General features: G+C 37.5%; 1 non-coding gene across 1 annotated transcript; it reads left to right on the top strand.

Annotated features, from left to right (window-relative positions):
* The first annotated feature begins 3085 nt into the window (after positions 1-3085).
* Positions 3086-3150, top strand: LOC124900350 (small nucleolar RNA SNORD37). The gene has a single exon (XR_007064403.1). It is a non-coding gene; the product is annotated as a small nucleolar RNA SNORD37 (small nucleolar RNA).
* Positions 3151-14586: the final 11436 nt, after the last annotated feature.

The raw sequence follows: 14586 nt of genomic DNA, 5'->3' as shown, positions 1-14586 counted from the left end.
TCCAAGTTCTCAGGGTTCTCCACAAACTTCCACTCATTTGTGTTTAAAATCTAGAATTTGTCAGAGTGGCTTAAAAATCCTGTGTTGAAGCATGACATGAAGATTAATATTGTGTGCTGTTATTCCTTCTCATCTAATTAGTAGTGACATGTATATTTAGCTCTTCTGGATGGTAACTTGATTTCTGCCTTCCCTGACCTCCCAAATTTGACTTGTCACTGCTGATTTAACCTTAGATTTGCATAATATTTACAAAATGCCCAGGAACAGGCAGAATTCAGAGTTAAAAAAGTAAATATAACTAAGTTACAAGAGCCAAGATTCCTTTGGCTGTAGAACCAAAAGGAATCTTTAAAAACATGTAGTTAATTTCTTTCCTTTTGGCAGGGCAATGCCTAAACCCTGCCTAAAAGGCAGGTATTGATCCTCCTTTTAAAGGCATCAAGCAAAGGTAAATTATGTAACATGCCCTGGTGACCTGTTCAGGGTATCTCAATCCTATTAGAAACAAATTCATGTCAGATCTAACAACTTCATACCAAATGTCCTAATGTTTAACACAAAACACAGACCTTATTTATCATGGTGTAGTGGAAACAGCCCTGGAATCAGAGTCTGAACAACTGAGTCATTGCCTCTTTCTGGCTGTGGGCATATCTCAAGTCACTGAAATTCTGTGAGTCTACGTCTCTTCATCCAACAGAACTATATCAGCATAGTCTTTTTTTTTCCTTGAAAGAACTGTGTACAATAGTTTAATTTTACTGTCATTACTATTATTCTTAAATACAAGAACACACTCAGCACTTCCTAGGAAAGGGGCCCTTTGCTGGTAATGTGAAAAACAGAGGCATATTGTGTGGTCTCTGCCATTAAGGAGCTGAGCATTTCATAGAGAGAAAGAGAAATATCCAAAACTAGACCTAAATTGATAAAATAACATTATTGCCACATATTAAATCATGAGTACAAGAAGTAAGTTCTATTGGAAGTCATAGGAGGGCAATCTAATATTTGCTAAAGCAGCCAGGAAATCAGTGTATTCCTGAAGACTGGCACATGCAGCTTCTGAAAGGAAGACAAGGCCAAATTGAGGCTCATTTCTTAAACACAGTATTTTGGACTGAACGTAAATTAATTGGGAGTAAAATGAACCCTTGTAATGCCTTGTATTGATAGCTAGGACATTACTCATTTATTCATTCAATAATGACAATTTCTCTACTATGTGCCAGATTGAAGAGATATAGATTAAAACATAGTTGCATTCTAAAAGAATCTTAAAGTTCAGTGGAAGAAAACTGAAACTAAGATAAATCAAATGACTCTCCTACTTGGCCCAAATGAAAAATAGTATAGCCAGGATTCCAAATTAGTTGTGATGAGTTCCATATACCATTCTCTTTACACACTGTACCTCATATTTTTTCCCACATTCCTCTCTCTCTCTCTCTCTCACACACACACACACACGCACACACACACACGTGCTACATACACATGTGGGTGAGGATGTAGCATGACAATATACAAAAATAAACTAGGTAGGTTTTTAAAAATTATTTCCTTCTGTCTTTTCCTTCACTATTCAAGCAGAAAGAAGAGCTTACCATGTACAGTGAACACGAGAAGAGATAATACAAAAGAATAAAGGTCCAATTTGCTGGATTTTAAAATTTCAGATAGATTATGAAAATATCTAGTGGAAGTAATGAACTTGAAAGTTGGAACTTTTATTTTCAATAAATAAGCATTTAAGAAAAAAAAGTTTGTTTTTATTTTCTTATTCCAAACATTCAGTTTTAAATATTAAAAATATTGAAAGTTCAAGGCATAAGTTTATAACTAAAACCACTATTTTTTTTTATTATACTCCAAATTCTAGGGTACATGTGCACACCATTCCAGTTTGTTACATAGGTATATATTTGCCATGTTGGTGCGCTGCACCCATCAACTCGTCATTTACATCAGGTATATCTCCCAATGCCATCCCTCCCCCTCCCCAAACCCCACAACAGGCCCTGGTGTGTGATGTTCCCCACCCTGTGTCCAAGTGTTCTCATTGTTCAATTCCCACCTATGAGTGAGAACATGCGGTGTTTGGTTTTTTTGTCCTTGCGATAGTTTGCTCAGAATGACAGTTTCCAGCTTCATCCATGTCCCTACAAAGGACGTGAACTCATCTTTTTTTTGGCTGCATAGTATTCCGTGGTGTATATGTGCCACATATTCTTAATCCAGTCTATCATTTATGGACATTTGGGTTGGCTCCAAGTCTTTGCTTTGTGAATAGTGCCGCAATAAACATATGTGTGCATGTGTCTTTATAATAGCATGATTTATAATCCTTTGGGTATATACCCAGTAATGGGATGGCTGGGTCAAATGGTATTTCTAGTCCTAGATCCCTGAGGAATCGCCACACTGTTTTCCACAATGTAAAACGACTGTTTATACAAGAATGGTCTGTAAGCCATCTGTATCAGACATGTAGTATGTGTCATAAATTACAGGTTGAGGAGCCATACCCTAAGTCTACAAGGACAAAGACAGGATAATGTATTTTTACATACAACCCAATTTTCCTTATCCATTGTAAAGTTTGAGTAGCTCTGCTTAAACCCTATCATGGAGAAGAAGACATGATGAGATAGTCATTTTTCTGCTCAAAAAGGGTTATGTGTTTGGCCAGCAAAACAGAAAGAGAATTGGAAGGACATAACTGATGTAGAGATAACTGTTGTTCCCTGAGAAGGGTCCAGAACTCCAGCTGGGCTGAAAGGAACAGTTTGTGGCCAGTTGCAGTGGCTCACACCTGTAATCCCAGCACTTTAGGAAGCCAAGTGGGGTGGATCACTTGAACACAGCCTAGGCAACATGGTGAGACCCCATCTCTACCAAAAACTACAAAAACTAGCCAGGTACAGTGGTGCATGCTTGTCGTCCCAGCTACTTGGGAAGCTGAGGTGGGAGGATTGCTTGACACTGGGAGGTCGAGGCTGCAGTGAGCTGAGATTGCACCACATCACTCCAGCCTGGGCAACAGAGTGAGACTCTGTCTCAAAAAAAAAAAAAAAAAAGAGTTCATGATAAGTAACATTTCTTCAATTTGACCTGATGTGTATTGAAGAAAACCAGCATCTGAGGCGCATGGAGAAAGAAAAAGAATAAACTTGGACAAAGAAACAGACGTGCATAAAGGGAAGACAATGGAAAGAGACACAAGGAGTAAATGGCCATCTACAAGAAGAGAGGCTTGGACAGATACTCTCTGCTCAGCCCTCAGAGGGAACCAACCCTACTGACACTTTAATTTCAGACTTCTAGCCCCTGGTGTCATGCAGAAATGGGATTTAGTTACAAAGTTTACAGTTTTCCAGAGGAAAGACAGCCTGGAAAGCCAGACCCCAGTTCTTTGTGTTCTAGAATCCTTTCAAATTTACTCAGGATTTTCACTGCTCTTTCTGTCACCTAAGGACATCAGTGGTGAATATAGCAGGCTACAGACTGACTTCCAAGACCAGGTGACAATTGCTATAGCTCAGCTAAAGGAAGACAGGAGCACAAATGGCAAACAAATGCAATATCCCCCAGATGCCTGGAGCACACACATCCTGCTTATGTTTCCTGTGGGGCAGAAAGGTGAATCAGGGAGGGAATCTTGAATCGACTGAGCACTAGTTTCCAAAATACTGCTTCTTATAACGAAAGTGGCTGAGTGATCTTGGATTGACAAGCACTCACCGTCAGCAAAAATCTGAGTTTGAGAATGTATGCAGGTATAAAGAAACAAAGGAAGACATATTTTTTACATAGCTAAGTTTATAACAGTATAACTACTGTATGATTTTCATTTCAGCAAATGTGCTGAATGTGCTTGGCACTTAATTAAGAGTTGGGAATACAGCGATGCATGTCTCTCATGTATTGACTCATGACTGGTGCCAAAGCAGTTTAAGGCACATTCCATGCGTCACCACCATCCCACACATCAGATCTACATGTAAGTTTCATTATCAATCCTCAGCAAATTAACAAACTGAGGATTACCAAGATTTTGCCAAGGTCACATCATTGCTGATTGGTTGGCAGGGATCAAACCCATTGCTGATTGGTTGGCAGGTCCACTCAACTCTGCTGCCTGCCTTTTATTCACAAGGCCATAGGAAGTTTTGAGTCGAATAACATAAGAGAAGTAGCTAATTGTAATAAATAATTCAGTAAATGCCATAAGAAATGTATGAATAAAATGAAGTAGCAGTAGGGAGCAGGAATCACTATCACCAAAGGTCTCAAGGAATGTTATATAGCATAGTAGTATTTTTCTTTGCTGTTTTGAGCCAGGATAAGAGTTTTGGAAGCAATAAATGGAAAGAAAAGGTGTTCCAGAGGAAGGAAATCATATGCCAAGCCTAGGGTTATGAGAGTTATGGCTGGTATGGAGAAGGTTGAGATGTGGTCTACTCAATGACAGCATAGGTCTGCCAGGTAGTAGGGGAACTCTATGTTGGGGAGGTGGGATGAGCCAGAACATGAAGGCATTGCAGAGTCATGCAGCTTTTTAGGTTAGGAAATGATGGGCTCAAATTTGCCTTTAGGAAGAACTAACTTAGAAGAGTATAGAGGCTGTATTTGGGAAGTCAAAGCATGTGATCATGTGATAGGAAGACTGAAGATGATGGGGCTTTGCAGTGATCCCAGGAGGAAGACAGGAGAAGCACGAGAAATCAAGGCACCAATTTTGGAGTCTTTCCTGAAGTGGAATTAGCAGACTTTGGTGGCTAATGGTATGCTTGGAGGACAAATTAGTGCATACTTGAGAAGCTTTAGGTCATTACTTTGTGAGGCAGAGTGGATTGAGATAATTTCCTGTATTGTTTATCAATACAGGATATCTGGGCAAAACCAGCAGTGTGGTCATCAGTATTTGCATGAGATATTAGAGGGAGAATTGTACACAGGGAAATGACAAGCTAGCCAAGGAGCAGAGGCCAGAAGAGCAACATTTAAAAACTTAAGTATAATGGAACTCTTGGCATGTCTTTGCCCAGAATTTATGCCATTCTTTCTTAAAATAAATGTTCTAAATGTTCAAGAAATGTAAAGTTTTAGTGGAAAGAGTTCTGACGTAGTAAGGTTTTAGTGGCAAATTTGCCATTAATTATGTGACCTTTGACATGTCACTTAATCTAACTCAGACGTGGCATCCTGATCTGTGGAACTAGGAGATCTCCAAGGTCTCTCTTTCTTGCTTTCAAATGCAATGATTCTCACTCATTTCTTTAGAGTATTTTAATTGAAGTATATATTACATGATATTATAGGCTATAGTGTCATGTGCTCCTCGAGTATTAGTGATAAGAAAAATATTAATGATAATTCTAACTTTATGACTATCGAGCTTTCAAGCTTTTATAACTGAAAGTCATGGATATTTCTTTCTCTTTCTACAACTGAGAACAAATTCTCTACACTAAAAAGATGTTGCAACAGACTGGTAATGAAACAAAAGTCATTGGGACTAGGTGGAAGTTTTCCCAAATCATCACTGTAATTTATTAACGTAACGGTCATCATTAATAATGTCTATAAACAGAGACTTTATATAATATAAAAAAATTTTAAATCAAAAGAATTATGTTCTAATAAGAAATAACTTATGGATTCACCTAGACATTGAATTCTAACAATGAAATCTCTTCAATGAGGGAGAGAAATGATTAATCCCATAGTCTTGCCCCTGAGTTGTGGATCTTCTCATTCCAAGTATTGCACAAAATAAAAATGCTCCATTATCTTAGAGCTAATGCTCTTCAAAGAGAGAAGCTGTTGTTGAGTCTGTCTTACAATTTAACATTTAATAAAATGACCTATTTCTTAAAAGATGCTCCACTCTCTTAGAGCTCAGAGGAATTCAAGCGAAGACTTTACAAGGTGAATTAATGGCCCAAAGCACAGCCTTATGCTAAGCTAGTAAGTCAGAGAAAATCAATTTAACCTTCATCCAGAAATTAAATGGTTATTGATTCATATGGAAGATAGTGTAACCTTTCAGATTAAATTAAGAAATGTTGCTGAACACAATTAAAATTTTTCAAATGTAACGCTGTTTGCAGAGTGCATTTTTGACTAAATTCCATCTCTGAGGTTAATTACCATGTCTAGGGTCCAGGAATAATAGATTAAGTGGAAAGTTGGCTCCAAAAGTTAAAGAATGGGGAGAAAGCTAGAAGTATTCAGAAATGATTTATGTCTTACTGATGAGTTTGAGGGAGGCCAGCCAAATAACCACACCACTTTTCTATGCTAGAAGTTTTAAGCTAAAGTGGTGATATAAAATTAATAGGATGTTCATTCCTTTCAGTGGGGCTGAGGCAGCTCCAAATTTTTCTCACAATTAGGAATCACCTCATTCTTGCTAGCAAGACTAAAGTTATTAGGTTGGACAAAACTCATTGTGATTTTGCCATCACCTTCATTGAAAGATCTGGAGGCACTCAGCGCAGGTAAAGAAGGTGGGTAAAATTGGATTATAACCTCTAAACACAAACCCTGTCTTAAAGTGACAATGGTACTGTGATATTCTAGAAGGGCTTAAAATCGCTGAGTTTTTTGGTCTTAAATATGCTCTTAACTGGCTGATCTTACAAAACACCCAACTTAATTTTGCTGCATTTTTCTCGTCTGCAAAGTGAGAGGGTTGGGGCTCATGCCTTCTGAAGTTGTTCCAGTTCTATAAGTTATAAATAATAAATACAGACACACATACACACAAACACAGACACACACACATATACTTCCCTTAAGCTCTGTTGTAAGGGCTCCCACTATGACCCTGTCTCACCAAAGCCATGCTGGGTAGAGAGCATACACTTTTAGAAAACCCAGCTAAACTTGTTTTTACATAAATCACGTTTCCAGAATGAAAAACCCAAGTATTTCACAGTGAAAACAGCAAAGAATGTATACAAGGAAAAAAAAAAAAAAAAAAAAAAGACTAAAGGCCTTCATGACACATTCAGTGAAGAGATGCCCTGGTAACTTTTACCAGTTAATTGATGCATAAAAGGTTGTGAAGATTAATGCACATCAAAATCCAAACTAAATTGAATTTTTGACATTTTTGCAAATAAAAACCCCAAAGAATATATAGGTGCCTTTTGATTTGTCACAGCTGGAAGACTCTGAATCATGAAGTGCTCTAGGAGAGACCATTAAATAGTGTTAGATGGTTTTTCAGTGTGGAGGAAAAGTAATTGAAGAATCAAACTGTGTGTATAGACATTGCATTTTAGAGTATTTATCAAACAGAGATAAAGAGAGGTTTTTCTTCTACAACTAAAGCACAAAGTGTTGATTAGGATGTCACAGGAAAATTTAATAATTTAAGTCCTTAATTTTTCTTATGGGGTTAGACTAAATGATCCTTGCTTAAAAATACTTCTAGTCTACATTTAAAAAATATTGGCCATGTAAGTTATTTGTATCTTCTGCTTATGAGCAGAAAAAAAGATTTAAAAGTCAACAACTGTTTTATGGGAATGATATTTGAAAATAGCGATATAGTATGGAATGAGCATAGCAGGTAAAATAAGAACCAAATTCTTAATATCAATTTAGTAAGACTGTAAGTATGAAAATAACTTCACATCACCTCATTCTGATACTCTTTGCTTCAGTTACAAGGGCAATCACTGATTATACATATACATATATATGTGTGTATATATATATATTTAAAATTATTGTATACACATGCCAATGAAATAAGCAAGTGTTAGCATTTCATTAAGCCAATGAGACTGTTTTATTCTTTAAAAATAATATTAATCCTAATAATATGAATAATCAGGTAACTGTAATGCCTTTGCAGTCAACATAGCACGAAGAACACGCAGAACAACACAAGGTCTATATTGCAATCCAAACACATCTTCGTTGGGGCCACATAAAGAAGACCTTGTCATTAGGTCCATGTGTTCCCATGTAGTGTGAAATGCCCCAGGAAGAGATGAGTTGCAGCACATGAAAAACAATTCTGCCATCCAAATAATTAGTTTAATCTGATTTTATTCATAAGAGTTTATAGGTATGCTTTTCTTCTTAGGTGGAATAATTTAACTTTTTTTAAACTGCTATTTGACTAGTAGACAAGGCTGACAAAGACAATACAGAAAGGGACATGCATTTGGTAATTCCAGAAAGCTTTTGTGGCTGTCTTCATTGTCCTTACTTCAAATGGTTAGCAGTTGTCAAAGTAAAGCTGTTCGCACCATAGAGATATCAAGATAAAAACAAACATGGTCTCAAAAAACTGACTTCCACATGGAAGAGAAGGAAGGAACAGTTTCTATTCTTGGAAGGACAACAGCACTTTGTTTTAATCAGTTGCAAAGAATCTAAAACTCTAAAATTCTAAATGAGGTTAATAAATCAAGAAGAGTTTAAATGAAAACAAGTTTCATAATCAGCTTGCAAATAAACACTGCTGCATATTCTATTAAGATTGGTCCCAAGGCTAAGGCAAGTCAGAACAGATTTTTTCTATATATCCACAGTTCAAAGCTTTTAGGTGGCAGCAGACCATGAGAAAATGTTTTAATAAAAAATACCACTATTTAGTAAAAATGATAGCATGCAGTTAGAGACTAACAGAAATCTCCTTTTCCCTGGGAGATTTTTTTTCTCAACTTCCAAAATAACTGTATTTTGACAATCACCTGCAAAGTAAGTCTAAAGCATCGCGTCATATCCCATTGAAGTCATTCTTATTGCTCACTGAGCATAAAGTATTCAGTTACGTCTTAGCTCCTGCAATTAAGACTTTGACTGAGTTAAGGTTTCTCTAAGGACATCTGGCTTTGTCCCCTAAAGTTGATAATATTTGGGAAAATGGACAATCTGAAACAACTTTCCTACAGACCTCAAGAAAGATTCCAAATTTCTGCTTTTAACAAGGAGATGACTAAGGTGAAAGAGAAAAAAAATAACTTTAGGAGACAATGATTATTTAAATTTTACACAAATTAGTTGTAGAAAACTCAGGTAAAACTTTGGTTTTTGTAAATGCAGTTAAGAGGTCAATGTAAGAAAGTAGTTGCAGTCACCCAAAGAGAGATTATAAAATGAAAAGAAATGTTGAGCACTGAAGCTTGTAATCATAATACTTAAAATGTGAGAAAAAGAAAAACCTATGAAAAAGATCATAAACAAACAGTAAGAGATACAAGTCTGGAAAAATTAAGAAGGTGAGGAACTAATCAATTTTATCAAACACTACAGACGTCTAGATAAGACTAGGGATAAACAGCATCCATTGGATTTTGCATGTTGGGGGCATATTGGTGACCCTAGCAAACGCTATTTCAATGGGAAGTCATTGTAGTGAATCGAGAGGAAAGTGAGAAGTGAAGAGTTGAAAACAGTATCCATGTTCTTAAGGCAACCCTGATGTACTAGGTAATTATGCATACTCCAGAGGCAGAGAACTGCGTAGACCTGCGTTTTAATCCATGCTTGCACATTTAAGATTAGACCTTGAGAAAGTTACCTAACATCAAGGAACCACAGCTTTTTGTCTTTACAATTTGGGATAGTAATAACATCTCCCAAGGATTTGTGAAAATAAAACGAGATGTTATATGTAATTGGCTAAAATAGCACCTGGCATATAGTAAACACTCAACAAATGTCATTATTATTTTGAGAAGAGAGACATAAAGTCAAATGAATAGTTTTTGTGCCCTTTGTGACTTTGTTTTGTTTTAGAATTGATGTTGGTAGGTATGTATGTGTGCATGGATATTTTAGATAGGAATAACTTGAGCACAGTTGTAGGCTAAGGAAAATCAGCCAGTAAATAAACAAAAAGAGATGCTTGAATTCTGCTTCAGGAGAGACATTTCTGTATTTGGAAAATATAATTTCAAAAGCCTTCTGGAGACAAGTGAGATCCTCTGGGCAGAGATGTGGCCGGTACCAAGACATCAGAAAAGGAGGAAAATGCTTTAAATGGAATGAGAGGAAGAAAGTATGTTTTTAATACCAAATGTAGAACCTGAGTCAGAAACTTAGATACAAGGAGTTTATTGAAAGGTGGTTCCAGGGAGCAGGAATAAGGGACCACAGAGATTGAAACTAGGAAGGAAGAAAAACCAATATATTGCTGCATCTCAAATTTCCACCTGAAGATGGAAAAAAAAAACAATAAGAATTAATTGATCATCCTCCATCCCCCATTGGTAGAGCATTGCCCAGAGGGCATGAATACCCTCACATTTCAGGTGTGCTTGCATATGCCCTAAATAGGCTCCATCAGCATCCCATGGTGCAGAGTCAATGAAGGCTTGAAAGATATTTTGGTGCATGCTTGAGAAAAGATACTGTCAGTTCAAGCTATATTGAAGCTTACACAGAGTTAATTTGATGGAGCTATAACTGGAATCAGAGACGAGGTCAAGAAAATGTGAGTTAGTGAACAAGAGTCATGATACAGTTTACTCTTTGCTGTGTTCCTGCCTTTAAGTCCAATCTTTAATTGAGTCGTCTTGGTTCTGACCTTCAAATCACTTAGTAGAGGGCAGTTTGGGAAACAAGACACAATTCTCCCCCTTTTCCAATGCAATTGATCACCAAGTCTTAATTGATCTTTATCATCTCTTGTCTTTATCACCTATTTTAAATTTCTCTCATGCTACGCTTTCAGCTAATCTGGCTGCTTGCCTATGGAGGTGATGCAGACTTTCACTACTGAAGGGTCTGAGCCGTCATTAGTTTTGCCCTTATTGAGAATTATTTCAATTGCCTATTCACTATTATCACTGGGCATACAAATGCCAAGAAATGCTTCAGTTAATACCTTGAGTTCCAGATATCCTCCTTTCTGTTGCCATTAATATAACAACACCCTATCCCCTCAAATTAATTAGGAGCTTCTTTCTTTGTCTTCTAGTCCACTGACATGAGGATCCTAAAGTGATCTGCCAATAGTCATAGCTTCAAGCTCAGTAGAAATTTTGTGTCCAATAGAAAACAAACTATGGCATGAGATTCTAGGGGAAGTCTGCTAGGCCTACACACATGCAAAGCCTATAAATGCATGAAAGTTAACACCTATTACTATAATCCTCAACAAAAAGGGAGTTGATGGATAAATGTTACTCCTTGTTAGTCTATCCCGTGGTGCAAGGAGTCATATTGGGGAATGTGGACATTTAAGGTTCAAAGTATGTAGCTTAAATTTGAAAGCCCAAAATCCACAAATGGGTCATTGGAAATGGTGGCAAGAGGGGCCAATCCTTTTTTCCAGTGCTAGTTTATCAACCTAGGTGTTCTAGCTTTTGAGGAAATAGCACACTGATGTAGTACTCTAACACTGCAAGGTTTTGTTTCCAAGCTAGCAGCTAGCAAATATTTGAATAGACTAGTCTTATTCTATTAAGCTGACTGCTTCTGTGGATTGCATGCATATATTTATATGAGGGCCACAGAATTCCATGGTCACATATCCATAGCTATAAAATGAATCCTTCGTTTGGAGACAATATTGTGAAAAAAATGCATGCCAATGAATAAGGCACTGTTTGTGCTCTTAGATGATGTTGGGGGTAAAGGAACTTTGAGCAAGGAAATGAAAGCAGATCTGGAGTCCCTATCAATTCCTGGATAAACTCTTGCTGCCTCCTCCAGGGTGGAAAGACATCCAAGTGGCTGACTAGTCTCTTCAGGATGATCTTACATAGGAGAATCGTCATCAATCTCTGAGGTTGACAGGTTGGGTATTCAGAAGTGTAGTAGCTATGTCAGCCTTGGGAAGAGGGAGTACACATTTCTAGAGCCATGCATAGCTTCCACCTTGGTCTCTGCTTTCACAGCCCACTGTGTAAGCACTGCAATGATGGGAAAGAGACTGGTTGAGGCCCAGTAGACAAAGCACAGGAAACTTTTCGAGGCTGGACTTTCCTTTGAAGCTCCTTGGTCTGGTTATAAGTAAAATCTGCTCTGTGGCTGCAGGATATGACAGTTTTTCTAGATGCTACCTTGAAGGCCTTAATTTGAGAGTTGGTAATTTAACTCTCTGTATAGGCTCAATCTTCTAAAATTGTAAATAGCGGCCAGTAAATTCCTGAATCCTTCAAATTACTACTGCCCCCAAAGCACTGTTAGAGCCCCTGAATCCCCCAGTGCTTCACCCTTCACCCAGCCTCATCCTATTCCGCCAAAAGTGAGAAACTTACTAATTGTGATGCCACAACATGCCTAGGCTTCATCTTCATCCCACTGTCTGCTCCCAATAAGGCTCTTATTTCCATCCGCTCTGGAATCCTATCCTGCACATCTACTTTTTAGTACCAATTGGTCCTAACCATGGCCCCCAGAAAGCAATGCCTCAGTCAAAGATTTTAATAAGATAGTTTATGTGAAAGTTAATCGCAGTGAGCAGGAATAAGAAATCAATAACAGAAACAGGTAAGAAGAAAAGGAGGGGTGTTGTTCAGTCCATCACTGCTGTAACAACAGCATGTCAATCACTCCGGGAAGTTCTGAGAAACATATAAAATGTCTCTCAGGATTGTCCGCTTGAAGACTGACAAGGAGTAACATCCATCAGTTCTCTATTGGTTGAGGATTGTGTCAGATGTTAACTCCTGCACTCTCGGGTCCTGCATGTGTGCAGGCTTCTCCTGGCATCCCAGGCCACAGAATCAGAAGAGCCTCATGCAACATTTGGTGTGTGTGACTGGGGTGAGATGCTGCCAGAATGAAGTGAGTCAAAGCCTACAAAGAGCATTTCCCTGCAGTGACGGCTGGAGTCAGGTAAATGAGAGAGGATAGAAGTGCACAAGGAGCACCTGATACAGAGGGAAGAGAATATAGAGAAGAAAAGTCAGAATGAAAAAAAGGGGAGAATCTAGACCTAGATGCAGGAAAATCCATAAAGGTGGACAAAGAACGTGTCTATGAACAATGATACCTATCACATTTAAAGTTCCATGCGTGATCCCAGTGTAAACCACTTTTCTATATGCTTCAAAAGCCTCCAATCAAGTCTGTGAAGCCAATGTTAATGAAACATGCATGCTAATATATATTCGGTGGACCCTAAAGACATGACTATCTGTTATATTTGAGTTAGCCCAGGAAGACACAAGGCTAGCCCTGAGGAAATGCAGGGGTCCTGGAGAAAGAGAAAAACAAGAGGATACTATTATGCCTCTCTCTAGACATTTGGCAGAATATCAGAAGAATCCTTTTGGAATTCTAACCAGTCATGAGATTTTTTTTTAATTGAAGTATAACATGCACACTGAGAAGTGTAAAAATCATAAGTGTTTTTTCTCAAAGTGAACAACCTCATATAAGCAGCACCCATATCAAGAAACTGAATAACTATTCTCAGCTCAGCATCACAGAAGCCTCCCTTGTGCTCCCTTCCAATCACCACCCCCTGCAAGGGGGAGACGCTTTCCTTATTACTAACACCATAGCTTGGTTCTGTCTCATTTTGAACTTTATTGAAATGCAAACACAAAGAATGTACTCTTTCAGGTCTAGTTTCTCTCACTCAAGCTTTGCTCATGATAGTCTGCAAGCCTTAGATTTTTGGTAATGAAATTCAAGCCAAGCCTTTTACATGTGTTATTTTTTTTTCTGATAACTAAGCTGGAGATACTTGATAGCTATGTCTTTTTCTCCCACCAGGCTATGAAGACCTGCACTGTGTCTTATTCATTTTTTTCTCCCCAGCACCTAGTGTAATGCCTAAGACAATGATAAAGTGAATGATACCTATTTTTATCCACCACAGCATTGACTAGCACAGAGCCTAACCTTTATTGGTACAAAATGAATGTGAGTAGATGCTTTGATGGTAAAATTATTGTAATTGTCCCTTCTTATATCTCTAATATTGTGATTGACATCTCAATCCGTAAATACTGAAGTGTACAATTTATACATGTCTATGTTTTTATTTTGTTATCTATTCAGTTTTGAGAGAAAATAATCTCTTAATTTTGCAGCCTAGATGCCCCAAATTGCAAAAGTAATGAAAAAGACCCAGTGATAATAATGCGATTGGAAAGGAAGACACTGATTTCTCACATGACTGTGGCAAACTGTGAAGAGTGAAAATTCCAGAAGACTTAAATTGTCTATAGTTTTGGCATCTCTCCCTCTATGTACTTGCTATCTTTTTTTTGCTTTTAAGTCTGCTTAGTTACAACTGCAGACCACAGTAAAATTATAGATTTGGAGATGTTGGAATGTTTCCTCAAAGATAAAAGCCAATTAAAAAAATTTTAACAAAGAACAGAAGAAGCAATCAAGAGTTTGTAACAAATTATTAGGATTAATAAAAAATATGCTTTGTAGCCCTGTTTTGTCCTAGTAGACTCCATATATGTGCTTAAAGATCAAGGAGAGATTGTTCGTAAGTTTTTTTAAAAAATATTTCTATAACAGAGAACATAATCTAGCATGATTTTCCATGAATAGTCTCCCCTTCATTATTGTGAACAAGCTTAATAATAATAGTATCAGCTAAAATGTATGTATCTATAGCGTAGCTATAGTGATAGTAAT

This window comes from Homo sapiens, chromosome 14 (assembly GCF_000001405.40).
Source record: "Homo sapiens chromosome 14, GRCh38.p14 Primary Assembly".
In the NCBI taxonomy this organism is placed as follows: domain Eukaryota; kingdom Metazoa; phylum Chordata; class Mammalia; order Primates; family Hominidae; genus Homo; species Homo sapiens.
The sequence above is the reverse complement of the archived record's forward strand: the minus strand, read 5'-3'. Positions and strand labels throughout refer to the sequence as shown.